This window comes from Homo sapiens, chromosome 7 (assembly GCF_000001405.40).
Source record: "Homo sapiens chromosome 7, GRCh38.p14 Primary Assembly".
NCBI classification, from domain to species: Eukaryota; Metazoa; Chordata; class Mammalia; order Primates; family Hominidae; genus Homo; species Homo sapiens.
This window is the reverse complement of record NC_000007.14, coordinates 39,829,579-39,850,203: the sequence shown is the minus strand read 5'-3', so window position 1 is coordinate 39,850,203 and position 20,625 is coordinate 39,829,579. Positions and strand designations below refer to the sequence as shown.

The following is a 20,625-nucleotide window of genomic DNA, read 5'->3' as shown; positions in this document are numbered from 1 at the left end:
TACTGGGGTACTAAATAGATTTTCAACTTAAGATCAGTTTATCAGGGTAACTCATGGAGAATCTGTAGAACGATGGAACACAGCAAACAGTCCAGAAATAGACCCACACACATATAGTCAACTTATTTTTCACAAAGGCACAATGGCAATGTAGGACAATGAAAGGACAGCCTTTTCAACATATGCTGCTGGAACAATTAGATATCCACATCCATAAAATGAACCTGCATCCACACTTCACTCCGTATGTAAAAATAAATGCAATGTGGATTACAGATCTAAATGTGAGACCTAAAACTATAAAAATTCTACAGGCCGGGCACAGTGGCTCACACCTGTAATCCCAGCACTTTGGGAGGCCAAGGCGGGCAGATCACGAGGTTAGGAGATTGAGACTATCCTGGCTAACATGGTGAAACCCCATCTCTACTAAAAATACAAAAAATTTGCCAGGCATGGTGCCGCACACCTGTAGTCCCAGCTACTCGGGAGGCTGAGGCAGGAGAATCGCTTGAATCCAGGAGGTGGAGTTTGCAGTAAGCCGAGGTTGCGCCACTGCACTCCAGCCTGAGTGACAGAGCAAGACCCCTTCTCAAAAAAAAAAAATAAATAAAATAAAAAATAAAAATAAATAAATAAATATTCTACAAGAAAGCAGAGGAGAAAATCTTTGAGACCTTGTGCTGGGCAAAGATATTTTAGATACGAGACAAAAAGCAAAATCCATAAATAAACAGATAAATTGGACTTCACCAAAATTAAAATCTTCTGTGTTTAAAATATGCTATTAAAAAACACAAAAAAGCCAACCCAAAGACTGGGGAAAAATCCCTGCAAAAAACATAGTTAATAAAGGAATAATATCCAGAATCTATAAAGAACTCCCCCCTCTTTTCTTTTTTTTTGAGATGGAGTCTCACTCTGTCACCCAGGCTGGAGTGCAATGGCATGATCTCGGCTCACTGCAACTTCCATCTCCTTGGTTCAAGCAATTCTTCTGCCTCAGTCTCTCAAGTAGCTGGGATTACAGGCACCTGCCATCATGCCCAGCTAATTTTTGTAGACGGGGTTTCACCATGTTGGCCAGGCTAGTCTTGAACTCCTGACCTCAGATGATCCATGCTCCTCAGCCTCCTAAAGTGCTGGGATTACAGGCATGAGCCACCGGCCCCGGTCAAAAAACTCTTAAAAGTTAACAAATAACACAAACTATCTAACTTTTAAATGTTTGTAAGCTACCAAGATTAGAAAAGACAGTTCACTAAAGAAGATGTAATACAGGTGGCAAATAAGCAAATAAGCACACGGGACAAAGCTCAACTTTGTTAGTCCTTAGGGTAACGCATATCAACACCATAATGACACGCACAATACACACCCATCAAGATGGCTAAAAATATAAACCAAAAAACAATATTAAGAGCTTGTGATGATATAGAACAATGAGACCTGTCATACTGCTAATAGGAATGGAAAATAGTACAAATATTTTGGAAAACAATTTGGCATTTTCTTTTGTTTTTCTTGTCTTTTTTTTTTTTTTTGAGACTGACTCTCGCTCTGTTGCCAGGCTGGAGTGCAGTGGCACAATCTCGGCTCACTGCAACCTCTACCTCCTGGGTTCAAGGGATTCTCCTGCCTCAGCCTCCCGAGTAGCTGGGACTACAGGTACACACCACCACACCCAGCTAATTTTTGTATTTTTAGTAGTGACGGGGTTTCACCATGTTGGCCTGGATGGTCTCGATCTCTTGACCTCGTGATCCACCCACCTCGGCCTCCCAAAATGCTGGGATTACAGGCATGAGCTACCCCACCCAGCCGGCAGTTTCTTTTTCTTTCTCTTTTTTTTTTTTTTTTTTTTGAGACGGAGTCTCACACTGTTGCCCTGGCTGGTGTGCAATGGCGTGATCTCAGCTCACTGCAACCTCCACCTCCTGGGTTCAAGCGATTCTCCTGCCTCAGCCTCCCAAGTAGCTAGGATCACAAGCGCCCGCCACCACGCCTGGCTATTTTTTTTTATTTTTAGTAGAGACCAGGTTTCACTATGTTGGCCAGGCTGTTCTCGAGCTCCTGACCTTATGATCCGACCTCCTCGGCCTCCCAAAGTGCTGGGATTACAGGCGTGAGCCACCACGCCCGCTGGCCAGCAGTTTCTTAATAAGGGAACACAAAGGGACAGGAAGAGATTCTATGGATGATGGATATGTTACCTCTCTTGACTCTGGTGATAGTTTCAAGTATGCATAAATATGCCAAGACTTACCAAATTGTACATTTTATATACATACAGTCTATCATATATCAGTTATACCTCACTAAAGCTATTGATTGCAGGAGTAAATATCTAAGACAGTGACTAGGACACAGGAAAAAAGGGTTGAAATGATGCAGGATAAAACTAGAGAATTCAGATCTTTAACCTTATAGCAACGGCAGGTGGTAAGCTGAGTTATAATCAAGGGAGCAACATGATCAGATCTGAATTTTTAAAAATATATAATTGTATTTTCCTAGTAGACCATGGTCTCAGGAAGTGGGGTAGCAGGAAAAACAGTTCTAACATTATTGCAGTATTCCGAGTGGGAGAGAATGGCTACCTGATCTGGAGGGAAGGCATAGGAGAGAAGAAGAATCAGCAAGAGGGCTAGGACTGCCCTTCACACTGAGAAAAGTACAGTGGAGTTATCATAGCTCTTTGGTGTACAATATACATTATTTCTCAGTCTATTTTAACAATGAGCATATTTCTGAGATGAGCAACACTGTCACATATCAGTGCTCTGTGGTGCAATGCTAAGCAGTGTGTGCACACATTACTGTAGGATACATGAAAAGGCCTTGTATTTATGCAATGGTCCTCCCGTTACAATATATTCCAAGTTGCTCATGAGCAACATAAAAGTCTCATAATTAGAGTAAAGCAACTCACAATCCTCGGAGGATGTTTCAGATAGCCAAGTTAAGTCGTCGAGGTCATTCACAGAATATATTTGTCTTTTAACCTGTAAGATAAATAATTCTACTTCAAAAGGTCCTCAAAATATTTATAGCATGTATTAGATGTACAGAAGTGGTGTTTATTCATCTTTTATATGAGCAAAACCACAGGAACTTCTTAAAACAGATTCTTTAAAAAGGTACTGTTATCAATGGCTACTGTTTCTTAATCACCTTTTTCTAAGTAAATGTCTTTATAACAAAAGATTCTCTGTTTTTTCACACTACCTTTTATAATGTAGTTTTTTTTAAACAATAATGCTTCAGATAATGTACTTTTTACAATAACTTGTTCTTCTCATCAGATGTTTTCATTGGAGGCCTAAAAAAATTTAGTTTTTTTTTTAGACAAATTCCTTTTAGACAAATAGTAAATACACAAAATACAAATCATATCTAAAATTATTGTTTAGTTATATAAAATATCTGCATTTATAAGTTATTTATTCTATTCATTCAGTGTTCAGGTCTTTTTTTTTACAGGCAATGTAAAACATAATAATTTTTCACAAGGGGGATTAAGCTATAAACAAAGAGTAACATTAAGGGAGAAAGAAAATACAGTAATAATAATATCATTACAAACAACTGAATTTAGATCAAGCTTTCTGACATCAAGGCAAAAGGAAAAATATGTTACTTGCATTATGTGATAGAAAGAAATACACCAGGACTTCTCATTATTGCCCTTTTCAATAAAAACTAACTGGCACTAAAATCTATTTGGAAAATGTTATTTATGTTCTCATTCGAGGGGAACCCTTTTTTAATGATGGTATTAGCTTTTTCAGGACTTCCTATGCAGGCACTATGCATTGTTCTAAGCACTGTGCATGTGTCCAGCTCATTTTAATCATCATAACAATTCTGTGAGGTAGGTAACATATTAAGGATTCTATAAAGAGAGAAACTAGGCACAGAAAGGCCATATAACCTTCCCCATCCCATGCAGCTGGTCAGTAGTATACACAGAATTCAAACCCAAGAATTCTGCCTCCAAAATATGTGTTTCACAATATGCTGTGAAGGTAGTATTTATTTTCAAGTGTTTTTAAGAGATATTATAGCAGATGAATCCACATTATCATTTTATTTCTGGCTGTAATTATAACTAATAATTTCTGAATCTTGCATTTTTTAAATAAAAATAGTTTTTACAGAGACAAGTTTGAAAACCTACTTTCAAAAAACTAAAAATTTAGTTTTTAAAAGAAATCCACCAACAGGCATTCATTCATTCATCTATTCAACTGTTTATTCATGGATTCAACAAATACTCACTGAGCACACAATGCGTGCTGATGACACTGTTGGCCCAGGGAAACATGGTTTTGACACTTTAGAACTTTATAATCCTGAAGTAATAATCTGTGAGAGACTGTCAGTAGTTTGCTTTTCTAAAGTAAATGAACAAAATCGTTTCCTTCTCCCCAGAATCTAAACAACTGTAAAGTTGATACACCTGATATTTTAGAGTAATTACCTTGCAAATCATGGCTATTCATGATGCTACTGTCAAAGGTAGTGCAATATGTACAATTATGAAGGAACATTTTAATTCTATTTAGTATGGCCTAAGTGTGTGCATGTTATTAAATTATTTTTAAAAATCTGTGTATGACAGTTTAAGTAATCATCTGCATGTTCAGTCACACTAATATGTTACATTTCTGAATAAGCTCTGAAGGAAAAAACTCTAAACATAAAACTATACATAAACAGAAGTTCTAAGGACAATTAGTTTGCTAAAAATGTATAAAAGATAATAAATCAAGCTAATGCTTAGACGTGCAGACAAAATTACATTTCATAAACATGTTTTTCTCTTATGAATCATTCCCAAAAGCAAACAAACGTACTCTATAAACTTCTGTTTTAAAATATAAAAAGAGAGAAAACTTCCTAGTATCTCACATTTTTCTTCAGTTATTACTCATTTCTTTATTGCCTTTCCCAGTAAAGTTTCTCTCAAGAGTTGACTATGTTCATCCACTACAGTCAGCATTCCATGGCTACTATTTATTGAAACCACTCCTAGTCAAAGTCACTAATCCTTATCGTAATCAATCTTTCAACAGCATTGACATAGTTGAGTCTTCTCCAGCTTTGGCAGACTACACTATTCTATTTCCAGAAAAAGTAATCATTATTAACATTCCTTTTCAGAGATTTCTTAGAAAGGACTTATAAATTTTACTTTTCTTCATCCTCACCTATTTCACTTAAATTGCTATCATCATTTACTTGTAGCAGACCATTAGCTAGTAAATTGGCCTGCCTTCTCTAACATGGGTGTAATCACAGATTATTTTGAGGTCCACTTTTTATTTTTATGTTTCTTTACTTTCTTCATACACAAGGCAAAAACCACTACTTTTAAAACTCTATAAAAAGCCAATGTTTTCTAATAACTCGAATGACAATGAACAAAAATCCCAATTTTTGTAAAACCACACCTCTTCCCCATCTCAATTTATTAATTTAAAAAACAGGTATGAAGTACAAGCAACATAAAAGGAAATGTGCATTCCATGCTTCAAAAACAAGGTAATATACAATTATGATACAATGTGTTAAGACAGAGTTGATAATATAAAAAGTTATATTTTAGCACAAGGAATGCTTTAGAGAAGAGGCAAAATTTAAGAGGAGCTCATAGGGAAATCCAGTGAGAGAAAATCATTCCAGTTAAAGAATAGAAAGTGAGCACAAAGATTAGGCACATGAAGTCCAGGTGTTTCCTAGAAACTTGAAAGGAAAAGTGTAAAATACTTGGAAGCTAAGAATAGGAGATGAATGCCACACTACACTTGAATGCTACACTAAAAAGCTGGAGTCCACTGCATACAAGCAATGACTATATTACATGAAAGTCATAATTAGATTTCTGCTATATTTCTGATTTTGTTGTTAAATATAATAATGCTTGCCTTCAAATGAAGTTCTGAAAATAGCATGAGGCACATATAACATGAAAGATGAAATCAGGAAAATGTCTTGAGGGGGAGTGTATTAGTCTGTTTTCACACTGCTATAAAGAAATATCTGAGACTGGGTAATCTATAAAGAAAAGAGGTTTAATTGACTAACAGTTCTGCATGGCTGGGGAGACCTCAGGAAACTTACAATCATGGCAGAAGCCGAAGGGGAAGGAGGGACCTTCTTCACAAGGTGTCAGGAGAGAGAGAAGTAAAGGAGGAAGAGCCCCTTATAAAACCATCAAATCTCATGTGAGAACTCACTATCATGAGAACAGAATGGCGGAACCAATTCTATGATCCAATCACCTCCAACTAGGTCGCTCCCTCAACACCTTACAATTTGAGATGAGATTTGGGTGGAGGCACAAAGTCAAAGCCTAACAATATCATTCCACCCATGGACCCTCCCAAATCTCAAGTCCCCATATTTCAAAACCAATCATGACTTCCCAAAGTGCTAACTCATTCCAGCATTAACCCAAAAGTCCAAGTCCAAAGTCTCATCTGAGACAAGGCAAGTCCCTTCCATCTATGAGCCTGTAAAATCAAAAACAAGTTAGTTACTTCCAAGATATGATGGAGGTACAGGCATTGAATAAATGCTCCCATTACCAAATGTGAGAAATTGGCCAAAACAAAGGGGCTATAGGCCCCATGAAAGTCTGAAATACAGCAAGGCAGTAACTAAATGTTAAAGCTCCAAAATCTTCTTTGACTCCATGTCTTTCATCCAGGGCATGCTGATGCAAGGGGTGGGCTCCCATGGCCTTGGGCAGCTCCCTCATGAGCTGGTGTTGAGTGTCTATGGGTTTTCCAGGTGTACAGTGCAAGCTGTTGGTGGATCTATCATTCTGGGGCCCGGAGGACAGTGGCCCTCTTCTCACAGCTCCACTAGACAGTGCCCCAGTGGGGACTCTGTGTGGGAGCTCCAACCCCACATTTCCCTTCTGCACTGCCCTAGCAGAGGTTCTCCATGAGGGATCTGCCTTTGCAGCAGACTTCTGCCTAGACATCCAGGCATTTCCATACATCCTCTGAAAGCTAGGTGGAGGTTCGCAAACCTCAATTCTTGACTTCTGTGCACCCACAAGCCCAACACCACGTGGAAGCCACCAAGGCCTGGGGCTTGCACCCTCTGAAGCAACAGCCTGAGCTGTACATTGGCCCCTTTGAGCCATAGCTGGAGCTGGAGTGGCTGGGATGCAAGACACCAAGTCCTGACACTGCATATAGCAGTAGGGCCCTGGAACCAGCCCATGAAACCATTTTTCCTTCCTAGGCCTCTGGACCTCTGATGAGACAGGCTGCCATGAAGATCTCTGACACGCCCTGGAGACATTTTCTCCATTGTCTTGGCAATTAACATTTGGCTACTCGTTACTTACGTAAATTTCTGTATCCAGCTTGCATTCCACCCCCAGAAAATGGGACTTGCTTTTCTACCCTATGGTCAGGCTGCAAATTTTCCAAATTTATGCTCTGCTACCCTTTTAAACAAAAGTTCCAATTTCAAACCATCTCTTTGTGAACACATAAAACTGAATACTTTCAGAATCAACAGGTCACATCTTGAATGCTTTGCTGCTTAGAAACTTCTTCCACCAGATACCCTAAATCATCTCTCTCAAGTTCAAAGTTCCACAGATCTCTAGGGCAGGGGCAAAATTCTGTTAGTCTCTTTACTAAAGCATAGCACGAATAACCTTTATTCCAGTTCCCAACAAGTTCCTCATCTCCATCTAAGACCACCTCAGCCTGGACTTCATTGTCCGTATCAATATTAGCATTTTGGTCAAAACCATTCAACGAGTCTCTAGGAAGTTCCAAACTTTCCCACATCTTCCTGTTTTCTTCTGAGCCCTCCAGACTATTCCAGCCTCTGCCCATTACCCAGTTCTAAAGTTGCTTACATGTTTTCAGTTTATCTTTGTAGCAGTACTCCGCTATACCGGAACCAATTTGCTGTATTAATCTGTTTTCACACTGCTATGATGAAATACTGGAGAATGGGTAATTTATAAAGGAAAGAGGTTTAATTGACTCACAGTTTAGCATGGCTAGGGAAGCCTCAGAAAACTTACAATCATGGCAGAAAGTGAAGGGGAAGCAGGCACCTTCTTCACAAGGTGGCAGGACAGACAGAAGTGAAGGGGTATGAGTCCCTCATAAAACCATCAGATCTCATGAGAACTCACTACCATGAGAACGGCATCAGGGAAACAGCCCCCATGATCCAACCACCTCTCACCAGGTCCCTCCCTCAATACCCAGAGATTAAAATTCAAGATGAGATTTAGGTGGAGACACAAAGACAAACCATATTGAGAGGAATCCTTAATTTAAAATATCTAAATGTCATGATTGATAGATAGATAGATAGATAGATAGATAGACAGATAGATAGATAGATAGATGCAGTACAAAACAGCAATTTTTATTAGTTATGATTTTGTTTGAAAATAAAATGTTCTGGGCCGGGCGCAGTGGCTCAAGCCTGTAATCCTAGCATTTTGGGAGGGCCGAGGCAGGCGGATCACGAGGTCAGGAGATCAAGACCATCCTGGCTAACACAGTGAAACCCCGTCTCTATTAAAAAATACAAAAAATTAGCCAGGTGTGGTGGCGGGCGCCTGTAGTCCCAGCTACTCAGGAGGCTGAGGCAGGAGAATGGCGTGAACCCAGGAGGCGGAGCTTGCAGGGATCCCAGATCGCGCCACTGCACTCCAGCCTGGGGGACAGAGTGAGACTCCGTCTCAAAGAAAAAAAAGAAAAGAAAAGAAAATGTTCTGGTGATTTTTCTTCACTTTTAGCCTAATATTTAGTCCTAATATAAAAAGCTGGATTTGCCAGCAGAAAATTGTAATTACATTTTTATGAAGTAAACACACATAAGAATATCACTATTATTGCAAGCAACAGAAAGTGAACAAAATAAGGAAAGAAGACAGAATATCACTATCATATACATACAAAAATTGACAAAGAGACTAAAGTCTCCCACTGAAGATTATGTTAGCACTGGAGCAGAAGCCTCTAAGAATACCAAAAACAGAAACAAAACTTACAATTATTTTTAAAAAATAATTTATGTAGCAAACTCTTCTGGTTGAGACTAAGTATCAAAAAAGAATCTTCCTGAAAGATCTCTAAAGATGAATTAAATGATTCATCTTGACTAAAACTTTAAAATCAAGTCTACAATTCTGGAATATGAAAGAGTTTTCATTTTGAACATAGTTGATGAAAGGCAACTTTTTTTTTTTTTTTTGTGACGGAGTTTCACTCTTGTTGCCCAGGCTGGAGTGCAATGGCACAATCTCAGCTCGCTGCAACCTCTGCCTCCAGGGTTCAAGCTATTCTCCTGCCTCAGCCTCCCAAGTAGCTGGGATTACAGGTATGCGCCACCACGCCCGGCTAATTTTGTATTTTTTAAGTAGAGACAGGGTTTCTCCATGTTGGTCAGACTGTGTCGAACTTCCAACTTCAAGTGATTTGCCCGCCTTAGCCTCCCAAACTGCCAGGATTACAAGCGTGAGCCACTGCACTGGGCCAAAAGGCAACTTTTAAACAGAAAATTTCTGGTCAAAGTTTCCTGAAACTTAGGAAAGAACTGACCTGTAGTCATAGTAACAAGCAGCCACCCAGAGCTAGTTCTAAATCTAGTCAATCGATCAATCAATCACCACTGGCCTCGCTCACCAACCAGCATCAGTGTGAGCAGCTTGCTTCTGAAAGACAGCCAATCAGACACAAAATCAATCCACAGGCTAGGAAGTGCTAACCAATCCCCAGCGGTCTCACTCAGATAACCATGTTGCTCCAGATGATGCCAACCCACTTGGATCCGGGAATCGGCCAATCCTTCAAGTCCAGTCCTCTCAAAACCCTATGTAAGATCAGCAGCTGCTCCATCAGAATAGATAGTGCCTGCCTGACCAGCATAGCTCTTACTACAGGAAGCAAAAAATTCCAACTCTGTCTTTTCATTTCAAATACAGAAGGTTCATAATCCCCTGGAAACAATTTTTGAGTCTATTAAATTTACCACCCTAATTTTTATTTTGTAAATAAAATACCAGTAAAGTTTACAATTACTTTGATTCACTTTACTGTAATTACAACTATCATGATTACCAGTGAAAGAATAAATAGTGAGTAACCACAACATTGGACTTTTCTCCCTAAGTGAAAAATGATTAACATAAAGAATGTAGCTTATTATAAAGCTAGACCTGTTCACGTAGACCTAACAAGATTTGCAACTAGATTAGATGTGAGGAGTCAGAGAGAGAAAGAGAGATGAGTCAAGAATGATGCTGAGTTTTTTGGGAGAGCAACTGGAAGAGTTGCCATTCACCCAAGTAGGAAAGACTACAAGAGGAGCAGATGTGAGGACAGATGTCAGTAGTCCAATGTTGGACCTGACAAGTGTGTGATACCCAATAGCTAACCAAAGAGAGATGTCAAGTAGGCAGGTTGACAGGAGGTCTGGAATTAAGAAGAGAAATCTGAGCTGGAGACATACATTTGGAAATCACTAGCATACACACAGTAGAAAAAGTCATGAGAAAGAAGATCGAGGACAGAGCCCTGGGAAACAACAATGTGCAAAAAGTGAAAGATGAGGAGGAGCAAGAAAAACAGACCATAATGGATGGACTAGAAAGGCAGGTGGAAAAGCCAGATGAGGGAGTGAGGTCCTGAAAGCCGAGTGAAGACACTGTCGTGGAGGAGAGTGTCCTCCATTAGGTTGTTGACAGGTTAAATAAAATATTTATTTAATAAAATAAAATAAATATTGCTGACAGGTTAAATAAAATAAGGTGTAAGAAAAAAATGCCTAGATTTATTAGAGAGAAGACTAGCGATAACCTTGAGAAAACAACTTTGGAGGAGTGCTGGGATTGAAGACTACTGGCATGAAATCAAAAATGAATGGAAAAAAAATTGAGTCCGTGAGTGTAGACAGTTCTTTCAGGGACATCACGAGTATGGATTATCTAATTTTCTTCTTGTTTACCTGTAGTTTTCAAATTTTATATAACAATTACATACTTTATTAAATATTTTTAAGGTTTTAAAAATATATAATAATTTTAAACAATTATGTTTTCAAGGTTTTTAAAACTATACATATATGGCATTTAAAAATGCCAGACTGAAATATATTAAATAATAAATTCATAAAATTATAGCACTAAAAGTCCCCCTGAACATTTCTAGATTGCATAAATTGATTATCATTTTGTTCATGCCTATACATAAAAACCAAGGAATACTAAAAGTTTCAAGGGGAGTATTTCTTGCTTGATAAATATAAGCCAATTCTAAAACAGTTGATACTCATCAAATATATAAAGTAACTGGTCACAGTAAAATACTATTTTATTAACGGGAATAAAAGGGGACAAATCCAGAAAATAATCTTATTTTATAAAAAAATTTTTTTAAATCATATGAAGTCACTGTTGAAAAATATGGTGAGATGCATACTGAAATATATTCTCTTTTCAAAGGAAGGATAATGGCATACATGCAGTGTACTTTTACAAAGAGGATTCACTGCATTAGCAGCACCCTCCTTTTAGCACAAGGGTCAGCAATTCAGCACTGTTGGCCAAATCCAGCCCACTTCCTGTTTTTATAAGTACAGTTTCTTGGAACACAGCCACGCTTATTCACGTTGTAGTCCATAAAGCCAATTAGCCGGGTGTGATGGTGCACACCTGTGGTCCCAGCTAGTAGACAGGCTGAGGTGGGAGGATCCCTGGAGCCCAGAAAGTCAAGGCTGCAGTGAGCCATGATCATGCCACTGGACTCCAGCCTGGCCAATAGAGTGAGACCCTACCTCAAAAAGATAAACATGGTCCATAGAGCCTAAAATATTTACTAACTGGCTCTTTGAGGAAAAAGCTGGCCAACTCCTGCTTTAGTAGATCAAAAATCCTTTGATGTATTTTAACAAGTTTTACCCAATACACTAAAATGTTTCTATGGAATATAGATCCTCATGTGTAATCCCTTGGGAATATTCAGATTCAGGGTCCAATATTTCAGGACTCAGGCACTGAGAACAAAAAGCCAAAATTTAATAACTAACAATCTTGTTGTTAACAAGGTTCAGTGTCTATGTGGCATGTAGCCTCCATTTGCAACACAGCAGATATTACAAGAATTCTAACAAAATTGTCTTCAGATGTGTCGTCAAACTAAATGCTTTAAATACATTTTAATTGTGAAATAATCAGTACACTCTAGATCTAACCTCATTTTTTAAAAAATGGTTGCATACTCCATTATTTTCTGGGTATGAAAACTGAGCTATTTCCTATTGATAAGGATTTAGACTAGCTCCAACTTTTTGATGTAATAATGCTATAATAAATGTCCTTATTTACAAGTATATATGTAACATATCTATACAAATATCCTTAACATACAAATATATCCTTAATATGTTATATATATATGTGTGTGCTTGTGTATTAGCCTTGAGTGTTATGTAGTATAGGTAGTAAGTGTCCTTAACATGTTTGTGTGTGTACACAAGTCATGTTCCTGTAGAGTCTAGCCCTAGAAGTGAAGTTCTTAGGTTAAAGGAATGACATATCTGAAATTTTGATACATGCTACTAAATTAACGTTCAAAATGTATGTACCGACAGTCTATGAAAATGTCTTTTTCAATGAGATCATATCCTTTGAAGCAACATGGATGGAGCTGGAGGCCATTATTTTAAGGAAACTAACACAGGAACAGAAATTCGCATACTGCATATTCTCACTCATTAGTGGTGGCTAAACAATGAGAACACAGGGACACAAAGTGGAGAACACAGGGACACAAAGTGGAGAACAACAAACACTGGGGCCTACTTGAGGGTGGAGGGTGGGAGGAGGGAGAGGACCAAAAAACTACCTATCAGGTATTATGCCTATTATCTGGTTGATGAAGTCATCTGTACCCCAAATCCCCATGATACAGTTTACCTATCTAACAAAACTGCACATATAACCCTGAAGTCAGATGGGGCATGAAATGACATGGCAAAAAAAATAAATGTTCACAAGAAAAGAAAAGAAAATGCCTTTTCCCTCACATTTGCCAATACTGGTTATTATTTTTCAAATAAATTATCAATGATTGGAAAAAGTGGTAACTCATTGTTTGCTGATTGGCATTTTTCTGATTCCAGGCAAGACTGAATATCCCAGTAAAAGTATGAAATTTGTTCAACATGAATATTAGCCCAAATTAAGATTAGTTTTATAGCACGTAAGTATCTCCTGTTAAATGTTGCCATAGGCTTACCTTTGATACTTCTCATTCTCTGTCCTAGGAAATTGCTGATTTTCAGGTTTTTCACTCTTTCTTTGTGGAATTAGTTCATCAACACCATTGCCAGCAGCATCAGTCAAGTTTTCTGATAATCCCATGTTGTTACTTCCATGCTTCTTCATTTCTCCTTCAATCTTAAGTGGAAGTTTGGTATTAGGGGTGATTACTACTTTCTAAATTCTGGGCTGAAAATATAAGAAAATAATTCCTTTAGGCATATACAGAGGTGAGAAAGTAAAGTCAAGGCATCGTCTTTTATGTTTTAACATCGCTGAATGCTTGTATTTTGAAATAACAAGAATAATGACAGACGATACCCCAGAATACAAAAGTGATTCTATGTCTCCCTCTTCTTATCCCAATGTGGATGTCGTATCTATAAAATGTTATTCACAGATATATTCATGAGAACATTTATCACTGTGCATTTCATAATAAATACGTATACAAGTCTGTCTCCATTAATGAAAATTTCAATAAAATAAAAGTAATAACAAAAACACTTTCAGAGGGTTGAAGTATAATAGTTTCAGAAAGAAGAAGGTGTTAGAATGAAGAAAGACAGGAAAATTATTTAAAAGAAATAAATATGACATTTGGGACTATCTACTTGAATGGTTTTTAATAACAGCATTTAAGCACAGGAAAATTCTCAGATATTCACTAACTTACCACTTCTACCATCTTTGTGAACAAAACGTAAATTTGACGTTACTGGTTTGCTCTTGTGGAACACTTTCAATAACATCAATATCATTTTGTCTTTTTGCACTTGCTGATTTAGTTGTTTCTTCCTATGAAAAACAAACCAAAAAGCTTTGGAAAACATTGTATTTATTCACCCACCCACTCAATCAGTCAACCAGTAAGACAACAAACATTCACTGTGTCTGCTGAATCATAGGCAATATCCTGGGAGAAGCTGAAAACATATATAGAAGAGACTCTTCCTTAATATTTGAGTAGGGGTAGAGATATATGGAAACAAACAAAAACAAAACAGTATAGTTCACTAGTTCTACAACTGAAGTTAATAATGGACAGTAAGGGCTCAAAGAAAACAATGGTCGGTTATACCTGGGAAGTTCCAGAAATGCTGCAAAGATAGGGCCTATTTTGAAAGAAGGACAAAGTGCAGAGAGTGAGGATGTGAAGGGTTTCTAGACAGGGCAGTATGAGCAAAGGTATGAGGCATGAAATGAGAAACGACATGGCAAATGAGGGGTGTTAAAGTAATGCAGGAAAACTGGAACCTAGTCAGAGGGAGTGAGATGGAGAAATAAAATGGGAGAATCAGGCCAAACCACAAAAGATATGTGCCATGCTAGAATGTGAACTTCCCCATCATGTAATGGGGATCCACTCATAAACAGATGAGTTACAGCATCATAAAATATCTTAGAAAGGCCACCCTGGCAGCATTGTAATGATAACTGAACATGGCATGGGATGGGGGAGGGACAAAACTAGACAAGAGTATTTCAAAATGATGGGTCAAAGTGAATTATAGCAGTGAGATATGAAAAACGGTAAGCAGGTGGAAAAAGTATAACTTGTGAGTGACTGGATTGGTGATTTGAGGGAGTGCTGGAATGCGAGATTTTTCCTGTTTCAATGTTTCAGTTCTATTTACTAGATGTTACTTCCTAGGATGGGAAAATCAGATGACAGAGCAGATTACAAAAAGTCAGGAGAAGGTCAAGGACAATGTCTTCAGTGTGGGACAAGTCAAATTGAGGCACTCAGGGTGTAGGAGTGGGTGACCTTACTTGGGAAAAGCATATGGTGTTAAGAAAAGAAATATTTGTAAAATATACTGCACTGGTAGAATTAACTCATGAAAACCTATATACAAGTCTGAAATTTTGAAAATGGAAAGAAGAGGAGGGAAATAACATGAGATTCAATTTCTCAATTACATATTTCTTTTTTTTTTTTTGAGAGTTTTGTCCTTCATGTTTTATGGAATAAAAAGTTTGGCCTTTTTATTGCATGAAACTAAAATTGGGAAAGGTAGGGGGCGTGGATGGGGTGGGAGGGGGTTTAGGGGAGCAGGGAGATGCCCTCCCCACCAGCTCCTGGATAATAACACCTCACTTCTTGCATAATTTCTGGCGTCTTCCCGCCTGCAATGCCGGCTCTCTCAGCGTCTCGGAGAAGGGGGGATCACACACTCATCGTCATGCTTGGAGAATAATTGTCATTCTGAAAGGAGTGGAGGAAGCTCCCTCCTAGCTCGCCGTCATCTCGAGGGGTGCCTGGAGGATTGCTAATGCCACTTATGTTGTTAGGAGAATTTTTTGGAAGTCCGTCTATGTCGCCTGACCCTAATGATCCATTCATGTGGTGTGGCTCCATGCCACCCATGCCGCCCATCGGACCGTCCGAGCCGGGACCCATCGGGAAGTTGGACCTGCCGCCAGGTCATTGTGTAGATGTTGTCACTGGAATTTGTTGAATCTGCGGGACTGGGCATAATGGGTGTTCCTGGAGGGCCGCCACCACCGGGGGTCCCACATAGGTACCAGGTGATGAGGAGGAATATGGAATTGAGTTAGCACTGTTAGGATTGGGCCAGGGTCTGCCAGCTCCCGGGCCCATGTTAATCCCGGGCATGGCGGGCCGAGGGAGTTGGGTGGTGGTCTCATGCCGCTGCCGTAATTCTGTGGGCCGGGACCCATGGGCCCCATGCCTCGGGGAGGGTTCATTCTCTGCATTGATCCTCCCATGTTGGGGTGGCCTTGTTGTCGTGTGGGATCCATAGAATTGGGCAGCAATGGCTGTGTCCCAAGAACTCCTCCCGGAGGCTGGTTTCCCATTCTGATCGGGGGCCCGGGGCCGCCTACGTATCGCGGTGACATAAAAGGCTGACTGTGGGGTCCCATCATGCTGCTAGGATTGTGAGGTGGAGGCTGTGCGTGCGGCGAGGGCTGTGACCCCGGAGGACCCTGAAAGAAACCTGGCGGGATGGGGCCTCCCGGCATCCCATCGTTGGGGGGAATGTTGCCAAGCACGGGGCTCGGGGCAGCTGCTGCACTATAATCATGAAAGGCTTTTGCTTCACTTGAATGTTCACAAGTGTCTCTCCTTTGAGGAGCTGCACAGTAAAGGTCCCCAAATACACACCACCACGAGTGCAAAAACCCAGGCGGTTCTCCCAACGTGATGTTTTTTTCCCATCGAATCTCCGACAAGAAGGTCTCTGCAGATTTCTGTACTCTTACGTGCAGTAAATATTCGTAGACGTATGAAGCTAACTTTTCCCAAGCCTGCCCATCCGAGGGCACCGCCGAGCCTCTGCCTTTGGCAAACATGGTTTGCAGGGAAGAGGGCGCCGAGCCTCGCCGCCGCCGCCGCTACCGCTCCGGCTCTCCCGCGCTGCTCCTCGCTCCCGGCCCCCTCCCCGGCGCTCGCTCGCTCTCTCGCTCGCTGGCGCTCTCCTCGCCGCGCTCCCCTCCCTCCCCACCAGGCGCTGGCTCCGCGCTCTTTCCAGCTGTCAAAGCGTCAGCCCGGGCCGCGGCCCCATCGCCCTGGAACTCCTTCGGCGCCGGCTCGGCCTGGGGGTGCCGCCGCCGCCCGCACGGCCGCCCGCTCTCCGCTCGCTCGCGCGCCCGCCCGGCTCCGCCTGCGCCGCCCTCTGCGCCTCCAGCGCCGCCGCCGCCGCCGCCGCCCTCTCAATTACATATTTCAACATTTGTTTCAAGGATATAAAATATACTTGTTTTAATATATGCTAATATTTTTGGAATATTATGGTCATATACATTTTATATTGAATGAAAAGATTTCATTCTAAGACCTCAATTCAAAATTCTGCAAGAACACTCCTTTTTAAAAATTAATTTTTAAAGTTTTACATTGTAAGAAAAGCTTTTGTCATTATAGAATTATGAGGCATTTTTAGGTACTACTACGATGTAAGAAAGAAATGTAAATCCTATTTTCAAAATCAAATGGTTTTCTCATTCCCCTGTAAACATACTAATAGTTCTAATTTCCCATTGACACCATATAGAATGGTAGTTAAAAGTTGGAGAAAGGATCTAGTACAAAAAAACAAAGCTATGATTATCCCGATTGATGATTTAAAAGTTTTTATATACATCAATCATTGTCAAGCAGGACCCAAAGGAAAATCATCAAGTATGCTAACGTACATGGGGAAATACAGATATATAACAGAGATTTTTGTTTATAATATATCCCTAATAATACTCTACAATTAGTTTGCTGTAAATATTTCTCTAAGAGCTTAATTTTATACCATAAAACAATACATTCAAGTATTTAAACATGGTCATCTACAACTACCTGAAAGATGGACCATTATTACTATAGAGAGGGAGAGAGAAATGGAAAAAGAAATGTTCCATAAACTTTCCACTTGGAGAAATAATTAGTAATCATAATTCTAAAGTGTAATCTATGGCTTGAAAAGATATATTTAGTAGAACATGGGTTGGGGTTTAAAAAGTTTAAAAATTTTAAATCTCAAATCCTAACCTAAGCTTATAGTTGGACGATACTGCAAAGTATACTGTAACCCTCTTTCCTATTTGATGGCATATTTCTTTCTTATTTATGACATATTTTCCCAATATAACTCATCTGAATTTATACATCCTAAACATTGAAAGGGACTATACATTTAAGCCATACTTTAGAAATGCCATAGATTTAATTATTAGGTATGTATCTCATGTTAATTGTAACATTCCATTATATAGAAATCCTTTTGTCTGTTCAAGTATTCACATTACAAAATATTAAAATGCTTCTTACAGGCAATACTTTATTCTAGCTACTCCAGGATATAAACAGGTGTGTTTCCTAACCTCCAGTAGCTTATACTAATGCAGGGGCTTTAAAGTGATTATTTAAATAACTAAATACAAAGACTTCTTACATTTGGAGTTTTTAAATGTGATACAAAGATTTTGAGTGTAAATCTTTAATAAGTATGATGCAAAAAAATTCTGAAATCAAAGCCTTACCTTATGGTTATTAAGAGTCTCTGCTGCTAGAACTGGTTGGTATTTTGGGCAAAGCATGTCCTAGCCCATTAGTCCAAATTCTTCAATTTGAGGAGTTTTAAGTATGTTCTTAATTAAGTGACTTAGAAAACACAATGGAATCCCTTTATAATGTACATTTGGAGAAAGAAAATTTACATTTCTAAATTTCCACAATTTTTTTTTATATGAGAGAAGCAGTGTTGCTATGTTGGCCAATTTGGTCTCAAATTCCTTGGCTCAAAAAATCCTCCCACCTAAAACCCCCAAGTAGCTGAGATTGCAGGCACGTACCACAATACTCAACTAAATTTTCACAATTTCTAGTATTAGTCTAATTACAGAACCAAGGATAGAAATAGGGAAAGAGTGCTATCCTAAGAAGTATATGATACCAAAATATTAACTGTCCAAAAAAAAAAAAGAAACTATATGCTATCTGCTGTACAGTTTTGGAACTAAAACGCACCAGGGAGAGTCCATGATTACTATGATAAGAATTTATTTAGGCATAAGTATTATAAAAGTCATGTTAGTATGAATTTAAAAGTCACAGAAAGCATACTCATCCAAATAAACCCTGACCACATTTCAAATTTCCTGTATTGTGAGAAAGCTTAGCCAAATATAATTTTTCTGTCACAATATAATCATTTTCCAGCACATTCCTTTTCTCACCCACACACCCTCTTAGTATTTAACAATCTATTATTTACCAAAGTACAATTTTTACAAATTCAATTATTCATATTTCTTTAAAATGCTTTTTTGTAACCAACTTTCCATTACAAACATAAAACAATGACAGGTTGACCACTGCTAAATTTTAAGAGTAAATTATATAGAAAACTAGATTCATAATGAGAAAATTAATTTCACATGTGAGCACTTTACCTTGATATCACAATCACGGTCTTCCTTAGCTGATGTAGGCTGTAAATCATTGATCGCCTGTTTGCCGGAAAGCCTTTAGAGCAAAAATATACAACAAAAATGAGTGTGTTCATTTCTTTAAGAAAGTAATTTGCAGGTCCATACCTGAGTGTCACCTCCAAAAAAACAGAAATAGAAACAAATCTGGTGAGAGACTAGCTATCTGTATATTAATGTTGCTTAAGAAAATTAAAGGCCGGGCGCGGTGGCTCACGCCTGTAATCCCAGCACTTTGGGAGGCCGAGGCGGGCGGATCACGAGGTCAGGAGATCGAGACCATCCCGGCTAAAACGGTGAAACCCCGTCTCTACTAAAAATACAAAAAATTAGCCGGGCGTAGTGGCGGGCGCCTGTAGTCCCAGCTACTTGGGAGGCTGAGGCAGGAGAATGGCGTGAACCCGGGAGGCGGAGCTTGCAGTGAGCCGAGGTCCCGCCACTGCACTCCAGCCTGGGCGACAGAGCGAGACTCCGTCTCAAAAAAAAAAAAAAGAAAAGAAAATTAAAATTTGGCCTCTGTTGTAGATTTTAGTTACTTATTTCTATTTCCACCTCTCCCAACCTATGAAATAGTCAAGACCCACGCATAGTTCCGTAACAAATCATGGCAGCCAATACACTGGCATAGTCTGAGAATAATTTGTCTTCACAAATTGTATGTCCTACAGGCTGAGCTGAAAATCCAATTAATTGCTGACATAATTTTTAATACCTGAACTGGAACAAACCTGATAATCTAAAACAAGGTAGAAAAATATAGAGTCTCCTCTTCTTCATTTATTTCTGGTTCAAAGACTAATCTCTGTCACTCAAAAATGGCAGCCTGGGTTCTTCAGCACGGAAATCACTTAAGAAGGCCTCAGTGCGGGCCAGGTGCGGTGGCTCACGCCTGTAATCCCAGCACCTTGGGAGGCCGAGACGGGTGGATCACGAGGTCAGGAGATCGAGATAAACCCCGTCTCTACTAAAAATACCAAAAAATTAGCTGGGCGTACTCGGGAGGCTGAGGCAGGAGAATGGCGGAGCTTGCAGTGAGTGGAGCTTGCAGTGAGCCGAGATCGCGGCACTGCACTCTAGCCTGGGCGGGAGGCGGAGCTTGCAGTGAGCCGAGATCGCGCCACTGCACTCTAGCCTGGGCGACAGAGTGATACTCCGTCTCCAAAAAAAAAAGAAGGCCTCAGTGCTTACCTTTACCTTGAAACATTTGAAATAATTGAAAGCTAAATATATGAAAGTCAGAGGACAAATGTCTATGTTGTTATTAAAATATTCTTCTCAGAAATATTGAAACATTAAAAATTAGAAAATCCTAGTATTTTCCCTATATAGGTCCTGTCCTATTCAGGTTCACATAAACTAGCAAG

The 20,625-nt window shown here is 39.4% G+C and overlaps 1 long non-coding RNA gene and 2 pseudogenes across 1 annotated transcript in view; 1 reads left to right on the top strand and 2 right to left on the bottom strand.

Annotated features, from left to right (window-relative positions):
* LOC101928688 (uncharacterized) overlaps positions 1–19,444 on the bottom strand; it is a 68,479-nt gene extending 49,035 nt beyond the window's left edge. The window contains exons 1-4 of the long non-coding RNA XR_001745176.2: positions 19,226–19,444; positions 13,992–14,113; positions 13,293–13,504; positions 2,933–3,005 (exon numbers count right to left, since the gene is read on the bottom strand). This is a non-coding gene — a long non-coding RNA (uncharacterized LOC101928688). The remainder of the gene's footprint in view (positions 1–2,932; positions 3,006–13,292; positions 13,505–13,991; positions 14,114–19,225) is intronic.
* On the bottom strand, positions 15,289–16,833 carry SSBP3P1 (SSBP3 pseudogene 1; annotated as a pseudogene).
* LOC100422519 (pleckstrin homology domain containing B2 pseudogene) lies at positions 16,411–16,918 on the top strand (annotated as a pseudogene).
* Positions 19,445–20,625: the final 1,181 nt, after the last annotated feature.